Consider the following 23,018-nt stretch of genomic DNA (forward strand, 5'->3'; position numbering starts at 1 on the left):
ATAATTAAAACAACCAATACTCATTCTGAGTATTACTTGATTGTCAGAAATACTGAGTCAGGGTTCATTTTATACCAAAGTCAAGCCTGACATGAGCTTAATGATTAAGTCAGATTTAAAAATCCTTCCCATCACTGCAGAACATAAAGACAATTTCAGTCCAACATGTCAGAAATCTCACTTTCAGAAAAGTTGTCACCTTTTCTTTGCACTCCAGCCCGCCAGCCCCTTTAATGTGCTATCCAAGAAAGCAGTGAGGAAGAATCACAGGATAACTGTGCTGTAGACAGGAAGAATAACCAGGCCAGTGATCAGGAGGACTGGAGGCCCCCAGGGGAAGAGCTGCAGGAAAAGGGAGACCCCACAGATAATATGATGAAATATTTGGAAAGCATTAGGAACATCTGGATAGAAAATTAGATAAGTGAAACAATAAGGCAGATACCAAAGCCAAACAAAAATCTTTAAAAGGAAATGCAGTCATACTTCTCTATTAAGCTGTGCAGTGAATCATATTTACATCACCATCATGTGGGAACACTGGTTATTATTTTATCAGAAAGTAATGATGTTATCAAATTGGGAGAATGGGGAAAGTTGGGGGGTTGTAACAGAGACAAATCTTCGTTATAAGTTTATCAGAAAATGATGATGTTATCGAATTGGGAGAATGGGGAAAGTTGTGGGGACAGTGATAACAGAGCCAAATCTCTGTCTATCCAATTGTCTATCAAAACAGGAACTCAACGGATTGGAGCCTACTGGGCTTGAGAGCCCCGCTGAGGAGTCCGGAGGTTGGGACGCAACTACTGCCGCGTCCCCTCCCGGTCCCCGGCCACATGGCGAGCGGGGCGACACCGAAGCAGCCCACGGAGCTCGAGGCGACGCTGCTGAGCCTGGTTCCCCAAAGCGGCCGCGCCACTCCCCGCTTCCCCGCCCGGCTCCGGGCCCCAGGCCCTGGGACGCCGAGCCACCGCCGGCGTTTCAGACGCAAACCCCACCGCGACCCTGCAGCAGCCTGCCCCGCCTGGCCGCCAGAGGCACCTTCCAACTCCGAAACACATTTTTCAACATATAATAGAATCATTATCAGAGGTGGACACATTTAGAAGTTGTTCTTAATCAGAGGGCAGCTTGTGCTTAGGAAAGCCAGCCTCAGTCCTCAGCACCCAGCACCCAGTGCTGCAGGTTTCTCCTGGGTGAAGATGGACCAGCCCACCTTGGCCCTCCGGCAAGCTAGAACAATATGTACACGTCTCTCAAACTATGAAGAGAAGATTTGGGAGGAGTATGAGAAAATCCTCAATACCAAACTAGCAGAGCAATACGAGTCGTTTGTGAAATTCACACATGAGCAGATTATGCGACCATGTGGGACAAGCCCAACAAACTATGTGTCTTGAAGCTTTTTGTTGCAGATCTCGGTACCAGGTTTGACCTCAAGGCATGGTTGCTATACATTTTTTGCAACTGTTTGATATCACATTTCAGCTCCAACTTTGCATCCTGAGAACATTCCAACGTTTCTGCAGGTCCATTTTATACGACTTGAAAGACCTTAAAACTTTCTGGTTGCCACAGGTATATCTTTCTTTTCTGTTCATCCAGTAAATAGTCATACCCTACTGTGACAGATTTTTCCAAACAAAAATACCTGGAGCAGCAGTGTAGCAAAATATGCCTTCAGTGGCACTCAACAAATGGAGTTTCCCCAAGCACAGTTCTGTAAGAAGTGTGTGTGAGAGTGTGTATGTGTCTGTACATGTACTTTAGATTATGGTTTGTATTGTGCAAATTTTTTTGATCTTGGGGATTCTGGCTGTGGATTTGATGCAGAAAATTATGGTTAAAAACTATGGTCTACAGAAGATACTTAATGCTTTGTGACTATATAAATTGTAACAGTGGATTGTTTTATGTGTAGGTATTATTGTTAAATATGGGGACTGTTCACCAGGCACAAAATAGGAATCATAAATTAGGATGCAGGCTGGGTATGGTGGCTCATGCCTGTAATCCCAGCACTTTGGGAGGAGGCCGAGCTGGGCGGATCGCTTGAGGAGAGTTCGTGATCAGCCTGGCCAACGTGGAGAAACCCTGTCCCTACTAAAAATACAAAAATTAGGTGGACATGGTGGCGAGCACCTGTAATCCCAGCTTCTCGGGAGGCTGAGGCAGGAGAATCACTTGAACCAGGGAGGCAGAGGTTGCAGTGAGCCCAGATTGTGCCACTGCACTCTAGCCTCGGTGACAGAGTAAGATTCCATCTCAAAGAAAAAAAAAAAAAGTGAAGATGGCCATTGGCTGTGGTTATGACAATACAGTGAAAGTCTGTTGTCTTAGATATACAAATACATAGTGAGAAATTAGAACAAACTGGAGACTGGCCTTTGACACATGGACTCTGCCTAGCTGTGTTAGAAAAATATTTAACTCCAAGCCTTAAAATTCCCAAATGGAGTTGGTGCTTACCTCATTCACACAATCCAAGAGTTCACTGGGTCCTGAACCTCTAAAGGGAAAAGGTCTCCCCTGGAGCAGGAGCATCAGAGTTTGCTCGGGGGCATAAGGTAGGTGAGTGCTGGGCCGAGGCAGGCTCCCCTGGCACTGCTAGTTGCAGGAGCACTTTACCTTTGTATCAGTTACTAAAAACAAAATTTGAATCCTTTGGTCAGGTTCCCCCAAATTATTTTGAGGTAGCCATGTTTAAGTGCTTGAGCTTTTGTGTTGGCAAACCCCTGCCCAAGGTTGCTAATAGGGTATTCTGCCCCTTGTTTCCACAGCTGAGGCACAGAAAGTAGCCTCTTTTGTGAGGAGTTGGGAGTTAAGTATACATTTATTTTTTTACCATGATTTGTTCAGGACCACATTTTACAAGATACCTTGTTTCCTTTATTATTGTTTCTGGAAAGTCCTATTCATATTATTTTATTTGAATATAGAATATAGTTTTTTTAAATGAGGGCTTATTTTGAAAAATTCTGAGCTTAATTCAAATTTATGCCAATACCTTCCCAAATAAGGTAATAGTCAAAGACAGATGTTCTGATCAAATGGCTTAGAGATAGTCCTGGAATATTCATATTCAAAGATTCCTTATTAATGAATGTCTTTAACTTAAATCTACCCAATAATTGCAACATGGTTCTTTGTACATTTTCATTATATGGTGTTAACAAGCTTCACTGCAAACAAATAAATTACTTAAGTTATTTGTTTACCTTGTCTTCTTAAAAAAACAAAGTCAGCATATGATGTCTAAAATTGATAAAATAGGCTGGGTGCCACCGTGCATGCCTGCAGTCCCAGCGCTGTGGGAGGCCAAGGCAGGTGGATTGCTTGAACCCAGGAGTTTGAGACCAACCTGGGCAACATGGCTAAACTTCCTCTCTACAAAAAGTACAAAAAATTAGCCAGATGTGGCGGTGTGTGCCCGTAGTTCCAGGTACTTGGAAGGCTAGGATGGGAGGACTGCTTGAGTCCAGGATGTGGAGGTTGCAGTGAGCCAAGATCACACCACTGTGCTCCATCCTGGGCAATGGAGTGAGACCGTCTCAAAAATAAAATAAAACTGGTAAAATAAGAAATGACCATGTAAGCCTATTATTGAGAACGATGAAGATAAATACTAGAAGAAACAGATACAAAAGCTAAAAATACTTGCCTTGGAGAGAGGGATTTTTCAATATTATTTGATTTTTTAATTTATGTGTATCAATTTGATAATAATTATTTATTACAATAGGCTGAACAATGAATACCCTCACCTAAAGATGTTTATGTCCTAAGCCCCAGAGCCTGTGAATATATTACTTTAAAGGCAAAAGGATTTGGCACATGTGATTAAGTTACGGATTTTGAGATGGGGAAATTCCCTTGGATCATTTGGTAAACCCTGTGTAATCACAAGAGACCTTCTATGAGGGAGGCAGGACAGTCAGAGTTGGAAAGGAGATATGATGATGGAAGCAGAAGACGGAGTGATGAGACTGCCGGCTTTGGAGATGGAAGAGGGCCACAAGTCGAGGACTGAGCAGCCTCTAGAAGCTGGAAGAAGCAAAGAATAGTATTCTCCCCTAGAGCAGTCGTCCCCAACCTTTTTGGCATCAGGAACTGGTTTTTTGGAAGAAAATTTTTCCATGGACAGGTGGCTAGCAGGGATAGTTTTCGGATGAAACTGTTCCACCTTAGATCATCAGGCGTTAGTTAGATTCTCACAAGGAGTACACAACTTAGATCCCTCGCATGCCCAGTTCACAATAGGGTTTTGCTCCTATGAGAATCTAATGCCACTGCTAAAGTGATGGAAGGTGGAGCGCAGGTGGTAATACTGGCTAGCCCGCCGCTCACCTCCTGCTGTACCACCTGGCTCCTAACAAGCCATAGACTTGTACAAGTTCCTGGCCCGGGGGTTGGGGACCCCTGCCCTAGAGCCTTCAGAAGGAACACAGTCCTGCCAATCCATTTTAGACTTTGGCCTCTAGAGCTGTAAAATAAAACTTTTTTTTGTTAGTTTTAAACCACTAAATTTGCATTAATTTGCTGTAGCAGCAATAGGTGACATAAATTTACTTAGAAAATAAAACCACCAGTTGTAGAATGTTAAATAAGAAAAATAAAACATGGTAAGACATGAATTATAGAAAACATGCCATCTGCTGACAGAGTAATTCAAAATGAAGGAATAATCTAAATCAGAAAGGGATGACAATTTCAATATATTTATCATGGTTTTGTGAATACTCACTATGCATTAGGACAAAGTTTTGTAACTTAAAGCTAGTCTTCTATGAGTCAATGCGTAGCTACATTCTAATGTTATTTACCACATGTACTTTTTCTTATTCCCACCTCCCTTTTTTTCTTTCCCATTCCTCAGTGTATCATCTCTCTTCCTGTCACCGATACTCGGTTGGGGTAGCCACCTGGCTCGCATTACAATGATTCTGTCATATCCTGGAATTGTCTCTGTATCAGTCAGAGCTCTCCAGACACAGATACATAGATATATCTATAGCTGTCTAGATTTATTTTAATGAATTGGTTCACATAATTGTGGAGACTGGCAAATCCAAAATCCATAGATCCACAGGGCAGGCTGGAAGCTCTGCAGGAGTTGACACTGCAGTCTTGAGGCAGAGTTTCTTCTTCTCCAGGAAACCTCCGTTTTTGCTTATGAGGCCTTCAACTGATTGGATGAGGTTGACCTACACTATTGTGGGTATTCTCCTTTACTTAAAGTGAACTGATTGCAGGTGTTAACCACATATACAAAATGCCTTCACGTCCATACTTAGAGTTTGATTAAATAGCTGGTTACCACAGCCCATCCAAGTTGATGCATAAAATTAACCATCACAGGCCCCTTGAGGGGTGGGTGGCAGGCACCATGGTTGTGCCCCATGACTCTGTTTCCTGGCTCATAGATCACCAGTCTAATAGTGGACACATGACTCCCACCAAACCATTCAGAGTCCCAACCCAGGATTTACTAAAGAAACTGGAAAAACAAAACCGAAAGACATCTAGCCCTCTCTAGTGTCGTGGCAGCCATGAGGTATGAGGATTGGGAGATATCAGTGGCCATATGGACAGTCAGTCATTCTGAAATGGAGGAGACTGAAGCAAACCTACAAAACAGAGACAAGATTTGGAGGAAGAGTCCTGGTTCCAGTTATCACTGAGGCCCAGATATACTCCTGCATTTTCAGTTGTTGAATTTTTTCAGTTTATGATCTGCTGTCTTATGATTCCCCTCCCCACCCCCTTTTGATTAACAGACAGTGTCTTGCTCCATTGCCCAGGCTGGAGTGCTGTGGTGCAATCATAGCTCACTGTAACCTTAAACTCCTGAGCTCAACCAGTCCCTCATGCCTCAGCCTCCTGAGTAGCTGGGAGTACAGCTGCGGGCCCTCATGCTCGGCTAATTTTTTTTTTTTTTTTAAATAAATGAGGCCATGTACTGTGGCTCACACCTGTAATCCCATCACTTTAGGAGGCCAAGGTGGGAGGATCACTTGAGGTCAGGAGTTCGAGATCAGCCTGGCCAACATGATGACACCCCATCTCCACTAAAAATATGAAAATTACCTGGGCATGGTGGCGTGCGCCTGTGATCCCAGCTACTCAGGAGGCTGAGGCAGGAGAATTGTTTGAACCCAGGAGGCAGAGGTTGCAGTGAGCCCAGATCGCACCACTGCACTCCAGCCTGGGTGACAGAGTGAGACTCCATCTCAAAAACAAAAACAAAACAGCGTTGTGCTAAGTTGCCTAGGCTGGTCTCAAACTCCTGGCCTCAAGCAATCCTCCCACCTCAGCCTCCCAAAGTGCTGGGATTATAGGCAAGAGCTGCCACACTGGTCTTTCATTCCCTTTTTAAATTTGAAGGGATATTTTTCTCATCATCCCTTAGCTAGACTGAGCTGGTTTTATGTCATCTGCAAGCAAAAGAGTCTCAACTAAGAGGGTATGATATCATTGGGTTACATACAAATGTTTATGTTTCCCTTTCCTTTCAGATATATGGTTTGATTATCCACTTTGAATAGGCATGACATGTGGCTTGCTTTGTCAATGAATTATGAGTGCAAGTATGTCACTTTAACAGCCAGTGCAAGATTTGCCATGTTCTATGCACCTGGCAGTCACCTGCAGTGACTGTGAAAACACATGTCACTTGGTGCCTCCAACAGGTAGGTTCTTAGGTAACAGTGAAAAGGAGAGAATCCTAGCAAACTGTACATGTAGCATGAGCAAGCAATAAGCTTTTGTGATGGTAAGCCACTGAGATTTTGAAGTTTTCTGCTACTGCAATATAACCTAGCTTATCTTGATTAACACACAGGGCACTTTCCTTCATAATATTTTCCCATGATTCATCTTAAAAGAATCAATATTGAGCCAATCAATATGGGGGTGATAACAGTACATGAAACAGAGTTCTTGCCCTCCTAGTAAGAAAGACAAACAAGCCATTCCAGATCATCCTAAGATTAATGGAAGTATTAAAGTAGTTTAGGCAGAGAAGTTGTATTTGCCTCCCAGATCATGATGGCTGCACAGTGAAGACTGCGTTTAGAGCAGGAAAAGTCTGAACCCATTGAATCTATACTACAATAATAGTAAGGAGGTAATAATGGCTTGGATTAGGGACGTGGTGATAGAAGCAGAGTGAAATGAATGATTTTGAGATATAATGAGGAGGAAGATTTAGCATATCCTGGTAAATGAGTGGATGTGTAAGAAGTAGAGAGAAAATTCAAAGCAAATATTTAGATTTCTGGCTTTGATCATTTGGCTATCATCAGTCAGTTTGGACATGCCTAGTTCGAGCTGGGTACCTACAAAACACTCAAAGAGATATCAGATAGGGAATTAAATATATAGGTTTCAAGCTTAGGAGTGAGCTCACAGCTAGAAGTCACCAATATACAGAAAGTAAAGCCATGGGTGTATAAAACCATGGGTGTAGATGAGATCATCCAAAAAGAATGTGGAGACTAGACTACATTGATAAGAGCCTTACAATTCCTTGGAGTGGCAATATTTAAGCAAAGACAGAGCATGCAAAGGACAATGAAACAGTTAGGCATGGTATCACAGAAGCCAAGAGAAAAGATTGTTTCAGAAAGGAAAAAATGGTCAATAGCTTCAAATACTATTGAAACATTAACAACTAAGATATATCTCATAATAGGAATGATGTTGGTAAGTTTATCAAGAGTAGTTTCACAGCAGTATTGGGGGTAAAAGTCTAATATATGGTTGAGGGTAACTTGGAGGTGAGGAATTGGTGATAAGCAAGCATAGACAATTTTCTCAAAAATTCTCCTTAGGGGAAAGGATAATTTGAGCAGAAGCTAGAAGGAGGATATGCATGAAGAAGACACTTTAACAAATGAGAATGCTAATGGCAAGAAACCAGTAAAGAGTGAGAGGCTGAAGACACAACAGAAAGAGAATAATTGATGGACCAAGGTCCCAACTAGACAGGAGTAGCCAAGACCTAGAATACGCATTGAATGATGGCCTCTATTGTAAAAAGAATGGAGGAAGGAATGAGTATAGTTCAAAACTTGTTAATTTGATTATAAGTAGTAACTAACACACACTCATGTTATTATTAATTGAATTCTTATAATAAAGTATATAAGTGTAGAAATATAGAGTAATATAAATATCCTGTTTACTATTACTATTTTCTCTGACTCTCAAGACTCAAACTACCTAGATTCATGGGACCTAGCCAGCCATTTCTTGTTTTGGTAAGTGCCTTATACAATGTCTGAAATACTGCAAATATTTCACAAGTGGTAATTTAACCCCATTTCCTTGGCTGACTCTGGATTCAAATAGTTAGGAGCTTCATCACTGATGATATCTGATTCTTTTTCTAGCTTCTCCATTAGTCTGATCTACTCTACCTGCCATATACCTCCTGAGGTTATAAATATCTTCTGTTCTGGTCTATCACTACTTCTACCTTTTTCCAGGATAAATCAATTCATTTATAATACAATAATTGGTTTTTTTTTTTTTTTTTTTTTTTTTTTTTTTTTTTTTTTTTTTTTTTGAGATGGAGTCTCGCTTTGTTGCCCAGGCTGGAGAGCAGTGGCGCGATCACGGCTCACTGCGAGCTCCGCCTCCCGGGTTCACGCCATTCTCCTGCCTCAGCCTCCCAAAGTGCTGGGATTACAGGAGCCACTAGAAATTGATGCTGGGTATAGGGTAATCCCTCAAAAATAATATAACTTATAAAACTGAATAAAAACAAAAATGGATGTCAATTTTCATAGTGACAGGGACTGACCAAAGGCATATTTTCACAGACTTTGTCCAAATGTATCAAAGAGCATTTTAAAGTATTAAATTGGGTTCTTCCCTTACTAGTAATGAAAATGCATAATTTTATTTATAATTAACAAGTGTAAAAAGTTGTTCAAGATTGAAAAACTGAAAAACTTGCAGAGAAATAAGGGAATAAAATAGAGCCACGTATATCTATTACCTCGTTAAGGGGAAATATTTCATCTGGAAGATCAATCCAAACAATAACTTCTAAAAACTAAATGCTTAATTACATACCAATAAGAATCAATTTTGGAGCTAGTTCAGTGATAGGAAGACAATGTAAAATACCTTATCTTATATGCTAAATTAGATAATATAAAAATACTACACAGCTATACATCCACAATTTTATTTAATAAGTATATCATTAACATTTTCTTAATATATCAGAAAAGATGAAAAGAAACAATATAGAAATATTTTCAGCTATACAAATTCAGGGCTTCCATGACAAATAAAGGCTAAAGATTCCACCTTTATTTACATACATTTTTTTCTTCATAGAAAAAGTCGATATCCAATAAAATGTTACCTAATGTAACCCCAGGCAAAGTGAATGCCATGACTGGACAATGGAGACTTATTCGTTGAACCGTTACACCTAATTACCATGTGCCAGATACTGTTCTAAGCACTCTATGGATGTTAGCTCATTTAATCTTAAAACCATGTCATAGAATATGGTAAAAAATAAAAATGAAAAAACTAAAATTGCTACTTTTCTCCCCACCTCTTCATCCTACCCCATCATATATTGTCAGTAAATGGACAGCAGGAGTCCAATGAAAATATATTTAACTTGGACTCAAAAGATTTGAGTTAGTTTCTGGCTCTATTTAGGGTTCTGTGTGACCTTGAACAAGTTATTGAAACCAGAACTTCCCAAACCTGACTGATCATTGGAATTCAAGGGAGAGTGTTATTACAGTTACAGATGCCTTGGACTTCACCCAGTATTTTCTAATCCTAAATCTAAATATTTTCTGTTTAGAGTGGGACTTGAGAATCTGAATTGCCTTTGAAACTACACAGGTGATTGTGATAAGCAGTCACATTTGGGAACCACTGATAGAGTAGTCTTATCCTCTAATCCCTTGACAGAAAAGTATAGAAATATGTGGTCCACAAGGGTCGTCGGCATGAAGGGGAGAATTATGAAGACCCAAACTCTCATAACCCCACTCTTTACACATTCTCATTAAAGCTGTGTTTAGATATTCTAGATGACCCTTTTGTTGTGGGTCATCCGGACTATCTAAGCCCAACAAACATATCCAGAGGCATATCATACAGGTGACTGTCATCTGCATCACCTACTTAAGCCTATCTCTCCAAGGCATGACGTCATTAAAAATGAAGTGGGAAATTGAGGCAATGGTTCCACCAATTTAAAGTACAAACCCAAATAAACTATCTTCACATGAATGTGCTGAAAATGTGTACGACCTCCTAAAAAAGTTTCTGAGGTGATTGTATCAGCTTTTTTCCCGCTAATTCAACTAAACATCACAATATACATTTTACTCATCCCCAAAATATTTTCTGAGTACTTATTTTGGGCACCATGAAGGATACAAAAATGAATAAAACAATGTACCTGTCTTCAAGCTGGTAAAGATACAGCCATAAACATAAGAATTGTAGTTTTCAGTTTTAAAAACGTTAAGTTTGGCTGAATTTTGGAGATGCTGCAGGCAATCAATAATAAGCCAGAAATGTCCATATTATAAATACATTCTGGACTGTCATATCAAGCTGGTGACCCTGGTATAAAGTACTAAAAGAAACAATATATTTTGAGAATCTCAAAATGTGTGTTTGGGTATGTTACTTGACAACTGTAGTGAATTTTTAAGTCTTTAAAAACTAGTCTCAGAGCGCTAGTCTTTCAGCACTCTGAGCCTATTTCTTTCAACAATTTGTATCTCACAAAATTGTGAAAACAAAATGAAATAGTACAAATGTCAAGGTGTCACGGAATTTTTTTTCTTTTTTGAGACAGGGTTTCATTTTGTTGCCCAGGCTGCAGTACAGTGTAATGATCACAGGCACTGTAGCCTCGACCTCCTGGGTTCAAGGGATCCACCTCAGCCTACTGAGTAACTGGGACCACAGGTGAATGCCACTATGCCTGCCTAGTGTTGTTTTTTTTTAATTTTTTTTTTTAATAGAGATGAGGGCTCCCTATGCTGTCCAAGCTAGTCTTTAACTCCTGTATTCAAGCGATCCACATGCCTCGGCCTCCCAAAATGCTGGGATTACAGGTGTGAGCCACCACACCAAGTCATGGTGTCATGAATCTTATAGATAATGCTCATAACTCTAATAAATAATAAAACATGATTTTGAGTTGATTTTTCACCAGTGGTGACAAATGGCTATTAACCAATTACTTTCTTATCTGGCCCTAAAACACAAAGAAGCCTTGTTTGTCATTGCTGTTCCCAGATGTATAGTTAATATACATTATATGATAATTTTATAAATTGGTATATAAGCAAGTGTATAAAAATAAACATGCACATTATGTAGTCATGAATACATTTAAATGTTTACATTATGCATACACCTCTCTAAAGGAAATACTGAAGTCACCAATTTAATGGAAAAAATTCTCATCTACTTTAGGGATAGACATTGGACAAAACTTCACAAGTCTATATATTTCATTACATGTTTGTGATTAAACAGTGATGAGAATGACAGAGTTTCACAGGAATGTTCAACTTAATTGTGTCAAACATGTAACTGTCTATAAATTCTATAGGGACTGCATTATTCTATGGGGACATGAATAATGTTTTTAATACAAAATTCCAGTTAACTGACTGGAGTAGACTAATCATTAATTCTAAAACATGCTTCTGGCAAATCCCTATCTACCCTGTATTTTCCCCCAAAGCATATATTAGCTATGAGTAGCATGAATATAAAAGTTGTGGTTACCAAAACTTCTTTTTACTTCCCTCTTTCATTAACTATATTTGTTAATACACAAGGTTTGATCATAAATAGTAAAGTCAATTCACAAGTTAAGAAAAAAGATCTAAGTGTATTTCAAAACAGGATCCTTCATGTTCTTTGAGTAATCCAGGCAGCAAAGTCAGGAATGCTCATGGGTGCTACTGGATATTAGTGCTAATTACTAATAATATGTACTTACAATTATGCCCTTTCATCCAAGTACCTCAAAGAGCTTTCATAGCATTAATTTGTTATTTCCTATAATATCTTTGAGAGGCGGCTGATAGAAAGTTATTATTATCTCTATTTTACAGTCAGAGAAACTAGGGCATAGAGAGGTTAAGTAACATTGCTAGGGTCATACGGTGAACAACTGACAAAAAAGGGACTCAAGCTAATTATTCTCATTTCCTGTTCAGTATATTATCCATTATATGGTTGTTCAATACACCTAAATGCTTTTTTATCCTAGACAAATTGAGAATACTGTATTTAAATAATCTAAGACGTAAGTGAACGCGTTTCTCTTTTTTTGTGTGTTCAAAAATGCTGCTCTACAGGGATATAGAGTTAAAAACTAATAATTAGTCTTTGGTTTGCAGCTGTAGCTATTATTTATAGGGCTTTTACTATTTGTGGTTTTCTGAAGCTCTGCTCAAAATGAAGTATTCTATTTCTCACTGCTTTATGCTAGGTTAGCATAGCTGTGAGCCACCAAAAAGCAGCTGAGACAGGCTGACTAATGAATTTGAGGTTGTCTTTCATTGCGTTCCTATTGCTGACTCTTCTTGAAGTCATCCTCCTTCTAGCTCTCCATTCAGCAGATATTTGTGCAACCCACCATCCTCAATCCTCAGCCTATGGCCAGCTTAACTGTTGTCAATGATTAAATTTAAAATATTTTTATTGGAATGGAGCAATTCCTACAGAATAAAAAAGAAAAAAATTAAAATATTAAAATATAAACATAGATAATATTTCATTTTATGAGTTAATGATGCTATACTATTAATAGTTACCACTGTTACATCCAGTTTCTGCTAAACCTGACCTTTAGGGTCCTTAGAAGACCATTAAACATTAGAATATTGGTCTATGGATGGACACATATCACCATATTGGGTTTTTTAATGCAGTATTTCAGTAATTTTCCCAAGTAAAGGCAGGGAGAAAGGAGAAGTGGTTTTGAAACTGTGCTCAATGACGTAAGACTGCAGTCAGCTTGGTTATGGTCATCTAAACCTGTGGTGTTTCCAACTTCAGCCCAGCTCCTCCCTAGAGCTCTAGACCCATATAGCAACCACCATTAGACAGCACCACTCTTACTTCACTCATCAACTCCAAAACTGAACTCATTTTTTTTCTGCAAAAATGTCCCCTCCCAGGACTCATCCTAACTCTTCCTTATCTTATTTAGTAAAATACACCCTTATCCTGCCCCTCCCTCAAAGCAAAACAAGGCATCATCATTGCCTCTTCCATTCTCCTATCTGGCAGCTGCCCCTAGCAACCAATTACCAGTTGATATGGCCTCTTGAATATTTTAGGAATCCATCTCCTTTGGATGCTCACTACCATTCACACAGGGTCCTTAAGTTTTCTCTTACTGGCTTCTGCAATGGCCCCCTTGTGGGCTCTCTGCTTATCCTTCTCTGCCCCCCCACCTCCACCCCCCCAAGTTATCTGTTCTCTACCAACAGAAGAATAGCTTAAATTGTAATCTGTCCACTCATTGCCTCACCAAGGCATAGACGATTCGTGATTTGGCTCCTGTTTTCTTCTCCAGCCTCATCTTCTTCAGCAACCTAAGTTTGAACTTCAAGACCTGTAATTATTACTCATTCTTCTCAACAAATTATTTGTCCCCGTGCTGCATCTCCTTTCTGTTCGGATCCGGATTTGCCATCCCACCCCTATTTTTGTAGTAGAAAATGCCTATTTATCTTTAAAACTCTAACCTACGTTAGTAAAGCTATCCATTCTTCACGCTGTACATCTTGATAAACCATACTTCCAATAGCAATGATTTGCTTTCATGTATGTCTGCCCACTAGACTGGACATTCCTTGAATGGCTCATACCAGGAATATAGTTGGTACTCAATTTGTGGGGAGCAAAGAGAGATAAGCGAATAAATGTCAAGACATAAGAATCTGTAGCTGCTAACTTAAATTTACGGATTTAGTGAAACTACTTCTCACAAGCTACCAAATCACAGTGCCATGGGGCCGCAAGATGATCTCAGTGCCACACCGACACCTGCAGAGTCGCAGGGGGGTCCGACACCCCTCAGAAAGAACTCGCAGACCGTCCGAGAAAGCGAATTCTCCAGGGGATCAGCAGTTAGATGAGGCCCAGGGCAGCCACGAGACCCTCCAGCCAGGGTAGGCGGCTGACCCGCCTCCTGGGATTTGGCCCGTGACAAGCCACGTCGCCAGCTCCGCTCTGAATACCCCCGGCCACGCCACACGAGCGGCCTCAACCCTGAGACGCCCAGGGAACATGAGCTGACCCTCTAGAAGCAAGATGGCGGCCTCCGCTCTCCCCTCCTTCCCCCAAGAACCCCCTCCTGGTCCCCAAAAGAAAGACAAGGACACCGCGGCAACGACGCCGAGATCCGGGAACCTCCGCGAGGCCCGCGGCCACTCCCGAGCCCCCGGGAGATGACTTCACCTCGCGGAGCTCAGAGAGCCGGGGGTGGGGCCGTCGGAAAGACAGCGCGGACAGCCCTCAGCTTGCAGGGGGCGGAGGCCGGGCAGCCTGCGCCCTCCGAGCCACTGTTCTGCGGCCCAGGCCCATGATCACCCTCCTCTCAGCCCACGGACAGGAAGTCGCTCCCCAGCTGCCCCGCCCCGCTCCCCAGCGCCCCGGAAGTGATCTGTGGCGGCTGCTGCAGAGCCGCCAGGAGGAGGGTGGATCTCCCCAGAGCAAAGCGTCGGAGTCCTCCTCCTCCTTCTCCTCCTCCTCCTCCTCCTCCTCCAGCCGCCCAGGCTCCCCCGCCACCCGTCAGACTCCTCCTTCGACCGCTCCCGGCGCGGGGCCTTCCAGGCGACAAGGACCGAGTACCCTCCGGCCGGAGCCACGCAGCCGCGGCTTCCGGAGCCCTCGGGGCGGCGGACTGGCTCGCGGTGCAGGTGAGCGATGCCCGCTCGGGCCGCCCGGGGAGGGACTGGGGCCACCCGGGCGGCGGCGGGGGTGTGTCCGGGCGGCGGCGGGCCGAGGCCCTGACGCGGGTTCGGGCTGCCGAGATTGCACATCCCACGTTCTGCCCGGGGACGAGCTGCGAGATGAGCCCGGCTGGAATCCGGGGCACCGCGTTCGCCGCTGTGGGGCGAGTGAGCCCCCGAGAGTGAGCGGCTGCGGAGAGGTCCCCTGCGCCCGGCAGCCGGTCTCAGTTGGCCTCGTCCGAAGGTCACCCCGCACCTTTCGTCCACGGCGCCCAAGTTCCCGCCCGGGCGGTGCCCGCGACCTGGGGCAACCCGCTGCCGCCGCAGTCCCCGCGCCTCACTCCACCCCTCTCCCCTCCTTCCCTTTCTTTCCACTCCTTGCCTGTGCTAGAGCCGCTGCTTTTTAAGCATCTCCGCCAGGGTTTTTTGTTTGTTTGTTTTGTTTGTTTGTGTTTTTTTTTTTTTTTGCCAGTTAAAGGAATGGTTTTTCAGACTTAAAGTCATTAGACTCTCCGCACTGAACTGAATACCTGGCCTTGGGCGCTTGCACAGCTTTAGCCCATTTTCAGGTAATCTAGCTTCTAATATGAGGAAGAGAATACATTTTGGGAGAGAGGTGTTTCCTCTGTGGTTCGTTTCTGAAAGATTTCCAGAAGTGGAAGATGTGATTGGCATGCTTTAGCCTGGATATATGTGTTTAAGTAGACGGGGGTGACGGCACACAGGGGTGGCAGTGTTGTTTCAGGATTTAGGGAGAATTAGGGAGTTAACTGGCCTGTGCTCGGAAACCTGAATGTCCAGACTTGTAAGAGCTCATCCAAGTGTGGCTGAGGTAGTGTGAGAAGTCCCGTGCCACGCCCTACGTGTCAAGCTGAAAAGCACCTAATTTACAAATTGTGTGGTGTGGGGGGGGAACAACCTTTATAAAACATGTATCATAAGTTAATTCTTTTCCAGAAAGTAAATTGCAACTTTAATCATATTCCAGAAATTGGATAACAGATTTCATTGGTAAACTCTTACAGTATGTTTATTAATGTATTTCAGTGTGTCTTATTAGCTCATGTTTTTCTGTCTCTGGTAATACAATATTATTCTAAACCGACTCCTGTATTAAAATAATACACTATTATTGTGAAGTATTATCTGACAACACCGTTTTTTGACCTTGGATTTCTTTAGGGCAGGAGCCATGTCCTACTTATGACTGTTTCTATGCAGTATGCCTTGAACATAGAAGCTGTTCACACATTTCTGCACTGAATGAATGAGTGTATAGGTTATCTCACAGTCACCATCCAGGAGTTGCTTATTTTTGTTGGGCTAGGCTGTTTGTTTTGTTTTAGGTTCTTGCCACTTACAGACTTTACTTCGTGTTTCATTCTTCAGCAGTCAGAGTTCTTTGCCTTCCAAAACTATCCTCCTCTGAAAGGTTAAAATTATATTAAAATTGTGCTGGGCATTATAACTTGTATTCTAGTGTTAAATGCTTACTACTTGAGCATATTCAGAGTTAGTAGGAAGAGACTGCCTGGTGATACACATCAAGTTTATGTTTGGGGTTGATAACTGTACCCTATCTTAATGAAAAAGAGGAAATTAGGAGTTACCATTGTTTGGATAACGTGGTGCTTCCCAGAATGCTTATAGTGGTTCATTCTTCCCATGAATACACGCAATCCTCTGAAATCCTGATGTGACCTTGGCATGATTTACCAATAGCCTCTTTTACATTTATTTTCCAAGATCCAGATGCTGTTCTCTAGTGTGTTTGCTGAGTGTGCAATAATATGGATCATTTATTTTGAAGCAGTACTTCATTACAACACTTTCTTCACAGGGCTTTCCAAAGGAAGAAAGGGCTAATTATAGAAAAGAATCTTGTCTACCATTTGTGAGGGAATATTTTTGTCTGTAGATGGTTGGATTATTTTCACATTAGGGAGGTTCAAATAAGAAGAAAGTGCTGACGTTTTCTCTCCTCTCCAAGTATGTGGTGGTGGTCCTGCACTGTTTTTCCAAGCTTAGCTTCTACAGAACATAAATACATGTACCAGTGTCAATTCTTGTAGATATGCATATCAGTGTAATATGCATTTGTATTCTTTAGTAGATGAGTGGCAAGGACAATTACTTTTAAAATACTGGAATAAGAGGCTGTGAATGTTAATGAGGAAAAAGACTATGATTTTGAAGGAGACAGTTTATGATTTTCATTGTTTTATAAAATATTTTAACTCTTAGACACTAAGGAGAGGGAAGCCAGCAATTTCTTACCTCAGTGACATTACCACTATACAGAGGTTAGATTTTCCTTCTTTAATTCAGCAACCCTCTTGGTAATAAGAGTTCTCATGTGTTGATTGCCTGCCGAGCACTGTGATAAGAGCTTTACTTAAATTATTTCTAATCTCCACAACACTTCTGCAAGACAGGTAGTTTTCCCATACTTTATTAAGGTAAATTGAAGTTATTTGCCAGAGGCTAGGCACCTAGCTTGTGTTTAGTAGAGCCTAGATTTGAAAGTAACAATTGCTGAGAGCACTGAGTATTATTGCAGTTAATCCTAAATGGCTGTGGAAAAGGCAGTTCTGACTGAGCTGGAACTGGAGCTTCAGGAAGGTGAAGATACTGATTCCTCTCTCTTGGACATCAAGTGTGGCCTGGGGTTGCCAGCAGTCCTGGCCAGGTGGCCTCAAGCAGCAGCCATTCTTCTCTTTTATCTTCAGCGTGCCTACAAATACAGTGTTATCACCGTCCATGTGTGCCATGATGGAAAAATGGTTGGGCATTTTTCCCGTGGGTGTCCCGGTAAAGTATTTGGACTCAATTCTGGTGTTTGATTAGTGCTTTTTAAAGTAACAGAATCGTCCCTATTTGAGAGGAATACCATAAATCTATTTGTAGTGACCTTTCCTTGAAATCACATTTTTTTTAGTTCGTTCTTTCACTAATGGAAATGGGGGAGAAGCTATGGGGGACAGTAGAAAGAATGGTAAAAGAAGCAGAGATGTGCTTGGTCTGTTTTTAACCGTTTGAGACCATTAATCATTTTCTCTGGGTTTAAGATGGAGGCTTAAAAGTGGCAGAAGTCTTGTAAGGGTTTAGCTGCTATTCAGTGCTGGTAGAATTCTCTTCCCTCCTAAGCCTGTGCACTTTTTAAAATGCACTTTTAAATAGGCTTAATTTGAAGAATGTGTCCATCTCTCTCTCTCTCTCTTTTTTTTTTTTAAAAGATGTACCCTTAAGTAAAAAACAGCTGATTGTCTGGCCCCCATAAGTAACAGTTATTCTGTTTTTTCTTTAAGACATCTTTCTTATTACCTTATCGCATTCATAAGGATTTGGGTTGCCGTATAGAAAAAAAGAAATTAAAGTTCTATGGGTTTCTAAAATATGTATGAGTAAATTTTAGGTGAGAATTTGCATCTTTGATTTAATTATACGTGAAGGTGATGACTTAGTTTCTGAAAGTCAAGAGGGTAGTCTTTACAAGCCAAAAAAGGCATGCTTCCATAAAATTATACTATTCTTAAAGGCCTTCACAGCTAGGGTCCTATATTAGATGCAATAGATGTAACACTGACATACATAGTCTCCTTAAAGTCTGGGATCCAATTTTATTGCTGAATTTACTTTTGAAACTAAATGTCAGGGTTTGGTAATGTTATTTTGGACAATAAGACATAGTTAGATTATAAAATGGCGTATACTCCCAGATTTATTGGGAAGGTGGGCAAAGATCCCCCAGTTTCCAAAAGTTATGATTATGGTCATCTAAGCCACAGGATCTGTTTTCTTATGTAGTTGAGAAGCTAACATAGTACTCCATTAAAAGTGGAGGTTGCCACACTGCGTGACCAAACACTGAGTTCAGCTGCCCTGTCTAGATATTCTGGATTACTACAGCAGCCTTCTAGCCTATGGTTGGAACCCATCTGATACTTTTCCCATTCTTGCTTAGAACAATGGTGATATTTCTCTGCTTAAAATCCTCTTGTGGCTCTTTTTTGCCCATTAATAAAATTCAAACTCCATTTATCCTTAATCTCATATACAAAACCTTCAAGATGTGCTCCTTACCTAACTCTCTTTTTTCCCCTTTATCTTTCATATTTTTCATTTTTTTTCTTACCTAACCCTTTAGCCTTATCTCTCTTCTTGGATGATCTTTTGTTCTACCAATACCCAGCTTCTGGAATGCTAGTGTTTGTTTACTCAGTCCTCCATTTCCTCTTCCTGGAATTCTAGCCTCTCTTCCTTCCCCTAATCTAGTATACTCCTACTGGTCCTTCAGAACTCAGTTTAGGTTATAATTCTCCAAAAAATTACAATTAGGTTCTCTCTCTGGATCCCATCCCTCAAAAAACAAAAAACAAAAAACCTTTAAGACTGGGCTGATTGCTTCTCTTATGTGCTGTCATAATATCTGTTACAGCTCTTAACTACACTGGAGAGAGTACTTTCATTAGCCTATTGTAAATTTTGTTGACAGCAGTCCACAGTAACCTCATAACTACACACACACACACACACACACACACACACACACACATTCTTTCTCTCTCTTAAAGGCCTTCTTCGTAGGCCTTTATCAGTCAAGTGCCCAAACTTTCTCAATTCATGGCACCCTTATTATCGCAGTAATTTTTTTCACAGCATCCCTAGGTCAAAAGAAACACCTAACAGTTTAATTTTTTTGTTTTTTGTTTTTTGAGACGGAGTCTCGCTCTTTCACCCGTGCTGGAGTGCAGTGGCGCGATTTCGGCTCACTGCCGCCTCCACCTCCCAGGTTCAAGCAATTCTCCTGCCTCAGCCTCCCGAGTAGCTGGGATTACAGGCACGCGGCACCATGCCTGGCTAATTTTTTGTATTTTTAGTAGAGACGGGGTTTCACCATGCTGGCCAGGCTGGTCTCGAACTCCTGACCTCGTGAGCCATGTGCCTCAGCCTCCCAAAGTGCTGGGATTACAGGCGTCAGCAACCATGCCTGGCCAGTTTAATTTATTAAGTAATTAGGTCTGAACAACTTAATAAGTATGTATCTCCTAACAAGTCAGTAGCTGTGTGAAAAGATAAAATACATAAACTAAAATCAGTAACTTTCATTCTTAACTGCTATCGTGTATGTACCATAGTTTTCTCGACTAATGTCCTGTTTGAACATTTAAGTAATATCTAATATTTTGCAATTACAAATGATGTTACAGTGAAAAACTTTGTGTACATGTATCTTTGTATTGTTGGAGAGATACATCTTCAGGATAAATGCATATGTAGAGTTGTTAGGTACTGTCAAACTCCTCATCCTGTGGGGTTATACTATTTTGCATTCCTACCAGCAGTGTATGAGAGTAGAGTGCTTATTTCCTCACAGCCTCACCAGCAGTGTTTTGTCAGCTTTTGAATTTGTGCTGATCTAATAGGTAAGAAATTGTATCTCAGTGTATTTTCCATTTGTACTTCTATTACAAGTGAATTGAACATGTTTTCATATGTTTAAGGGTCATTTTAATATTTATTTTTATTGTTCATATTATTTGCTCACTTTCTTTTCTTTTCTTTTTCCTTTTTGAGATGGAGTTTCGCTCTGTCGCCCAGGCTGGAGTGCAGTGGCACGATCTCTGCTCACTGCAACCTCTGCCTCCCAGGTTCAAGCGATTCTCCTGCCTCAGCCTCCTGAGTAGCTGGGATTACAGGTGCACGCCACCACGCCTAGCACGTTTTTGTATGTGTGTATGTATTTATTTATTTATTTTGAGATGGGGTCTCACTCTGCCAGGCTGGAGTACAGTGGCGCCATCTCAGCTCACTGCAACCTCTGCCTCCTAGGTTCAAGCGATTTTCCTGCCTCAGCCTCCCGAGTAGCTGGGACTACAGGCGCGTGCCACCACGCCTGGCTAATTTTTTGTACTTTTAGTAGAGATGGGGTTTCACCGTGTTAGCCAGGATGGTCTCGATCTCCTGACCTCGTGATCCACCTGCCTCGGCCTCCAAAAGTGTTGGGATTACAGGCATGAGCCACCGTGCCTGACCCTAATTTTGTATTTTTAGTAGAGATGGGGTTTCACCATGTTGGTCAGGCTGGTCTCAAACTCCTGACCTCGTGATCCGTCCACCTCAGCCTCCCCAAGTGCTAGGATTACAGGCGTGAGCCACCATGCCGAGCTTTCTTTTACTTTTTTTCTTTTTTTTGAGACAGAGTCTTGCTGGACCCTCCAGGCTGGAGTGCAGCGGTGCAATGGTGCGATCACAGCTCACTGCAGCCTCAGCCTCCAAGACTCAAGTGATCTTCCCACCTCAGCCTCCTGAGTAGCTGGAATTATAGGTGCATGCCACCATGCCTTGCTAATTTTTTTTTTTTTTTTTTTTTTGTCAAGATGGGGTTTTAACATGTTGCCCAGACTGGTCTTAAACTCCTGGGCTCAAGCAGTCTGCCCACTTCAGCTTCCCACAGTGCTGGAATTACAGGCATGAGCTATCGTGCCCGACCAATTTGCCCATTTTCTATACGACTTTCAGTCTTTTTTCCTCTCAGCTTTGAAAAGTTCTCTCTATTTAAGAATATTAACCGTTTAATTTTGACATATGTTGCAGATATTTTTGCTAGTCGTCTTTTGGCATTGCTTGTGGTGATTTTTTGCCATGCAAAAGATTGTTTTTATATAGTCAAATATATAAATTTTAAATTTACTGCATCTGAAGTTTTAGTCATATTCAGGAAACTTCTTACCTTCAGGTTATAGAGAAATTCACACATGCTTTCTTCTGGTACTCATATAGTTTCATTTCTCACATTTAGTTCCATTCAGAGTTTATTTCTATGTATGATATAAGGAATGCATCTAATTTTATCCTTTTCCAAGTGGCTATCCAGTTGCCCCAATGACATTTATTTAAAAAAGAAAAAAAAATTCTTGTTCCTTCTATATGCAGTTGGGTATATTTTTTTTCTATTGGATTATCTCACCATTCATGCACCAGTACCACATCATTTTAATCATAGAGGCTTTGTAGTATGTTTTAATGTTTGGTAGGGCTAGTCACCCATTATAGCGCTTCCTCTTCATTGTTTTTCTTGCCTTCTTGTATGAATTTTAGCATCAATTTGTCTAAGTCTATGAAACAATTCATTGCTGGTTTTTTGTTTTTGTTTTTTTTTTTTTTGAGACAGAGTTTCACTGTGTCACCCAGGCTGGAGTGCAGTGGTGCGATCTCAGCTCACTGTACCCTCTGCCTCCCAGGTTCAAGCGATTCTCCTGCCTCAGCCTCCCATGTAGCTGGAACCACAGGCGTGTGCCACCATGCCCAGCTTATTTTTTTATTTTTAGTAGAGACAGGGTTTCGCCATATTGGCCAGGCTGGTCTCAAACTCCTGGCCTCAAGTGATCCACCTGCCTCGGCCTTCCAAAGCACTGGGATTACAGGCGTGAGCCATGGTGCCCGGCCTCATTGCTGTTTTTATTGGGATCACATTGAACTTATACTAACTTATGAAGAACTGACATCTTTTTTTTGGAGAAAGGGTCTCCCTCTGTTGCCCAGGCTGGAGTGCAGTGGTGCCATCATAGCTCACTGCAGCCTTGAACTCCTGGGCTCAAGTGATCCTCCTGCCTCAGCCACCCAAGTAGATGATAGTACAGGTGTGTGCCACCATGCCCTGCTAGAGAATTGACATCTTGATGGTATTGAGACATCTTAACCTAAAACAAACAATGTCTTTTTATTTTTTGCATTCTACTTTTGTGTCTTTGAGGAATGGTTTATAGTTTTCTTCATACAAGTTTTCAACATTTCTTGCTTATTCCTAAGCTATTTTATCTTTTTTGTTGCTATTATAGTTTTCTTATCATTTATGTATTTTAACTGGTTATTGTCCATTTATACGAATATTGTTGATTTCTGCATATTTTCCTGCCACCTTGCCAAATTGTTACTAAGTTGACTATGTTAGCCTCTTTTGCATTGCTATGAAAGTATACCTGTGACTGGGTAATTCATAAAGGAAAGAGATTTGTTTGGCTTACGGTTCTGCAG

The 23,018-nt window shown here is 41.4% G+C and overlaps 2 protein-coding genes, 1 long non-coding RNA gene and 1 pseudogene across 5 annotated transcripts in view, besides 4 other annotated features; 3 read left to right on the top strand and 1 right to left on the bottom strand.

The window, feature by feature from the left end:
- YAE1 (YAE1 maturation factor of ABCE1) overlaps window positions 1-3,212 on the top strand; it is a 45,686-nt gene extending 42,474 nt beyond the window's left edge. Inside the window, exon 3 of the mRNA NM_001282446.2 lies at window positions 740-3,212. Coding sequence (NP_001269375.1) covers window positions 740-1,109 — 370 coding nt within the window. The 3' untranslated portion in view covers window positions 1,110-3,212. The remainder of the gene's footprint in view (window positions 1-739) is intronic.
- LOC646999 (akirin 1 pseudogene) lies at window positions 751-3,234 on the top strand (annotated as a pseudogene).
- Window positions 854-1,003: a silencer, noted in NCBI's record as "silent region_18111". NCBI's record gives its function as "represses an Ori minimal core promoter by ATAC-STARR-seq in GM12878 lymphoblastoid cells {active_cell/tissue: GM12878}" and the evidence as "EXISTENCE:reporter gene assay evidence [ECO:0000049][PMID:35858748]".
- Window positions 9,184-14,600, bottom strand: LOC107986785 (uncharacterized). Its single transcript, XR_001745175.2, has 2 exons — window positions 13,556-14,600; window positions 9,184-12,737 (listed from the first exon to the last, which is right to left on the bottom strand). It is a non-coding gene; the product is annotated as an uncharacterized LOC107986785 (long non-coding RNA).
- Window positions 14,571-15,418: an enhancer, noted in NCBI's record as "H3K27ac hESC enhancer chr7:39663047-39663894 (GRCh37/hg19 assembly coordinates)". NCBI's record gives its function as "activates a minimal SCP1, AML or CMV promoter by ChIP-STARR-seq in naive H9 embryonic stem cells {active_cell/tissue: H9 hESC(naive)}" and the evidence as "EXISTENCE:reporter gene assay evidence [ECO:0000049][PMID:30033119]".
- RALA (RAS like proto-oncogene A) overlaps window positions 14,695-23,018 on the top strand; it is an 84,549-nt gene continuing 76,225 nt past the window's right edge. For 2 of the 3 annotated variants that reach the window (XM_047420682.1, NM_005402.4), the window contains exon 1: window positions 14,695-14,948. The gene's annotated coding sequence lies outside the window, so the exon portion shown is untranslated. Of the gene's footprint in view, window positions 14,949-15,449; window positions 15,551-23,018 lie in introns of those variants that run through there. The other variant, XM_047420681.1, reaches the window with a different exon arrangement.
- Window positions 14,745-15,254: a silencer, noted in NCBI's record as "silent region_18112". NCBI's record gives its function as "represses an Ori minimal core promoter by ATAC-STARR-seq in GM12878 lymphoblastoid cells {active_cell/tissue: GM12878}" and the evidence as "EXISTENCE:reporter gene assay evidence [ECO:0000049][PMID:35858748]".
- Window positions 15,849-15,898: a silencer, noted in NCBI's record as "silent region_18113". NCBI's record gives its function as "represses an Ori minimal core promoter by ATAC-STARR-seq in GM12878 lymphoblastoid cells {active_cell/tissue: GM12878}" and the evidence as "EXISTENCE:reporter gene assay evidence [ECO:0000049][PMID:35858748]".

The sequence above is a fragment of the Homo sapiens genome, chromosome 7, assembly GCF_000001405.40.
Source record: "Homo sapiens chromosome 7, GRCh38.p14 Primary Assembly".
NCBI classification, from domain to species: domain Eukaryota; kingdom Metazoa; phylum Chordata; class Mammalia; order Primates; family Hominidae; genus Homo; species Homo sapiens.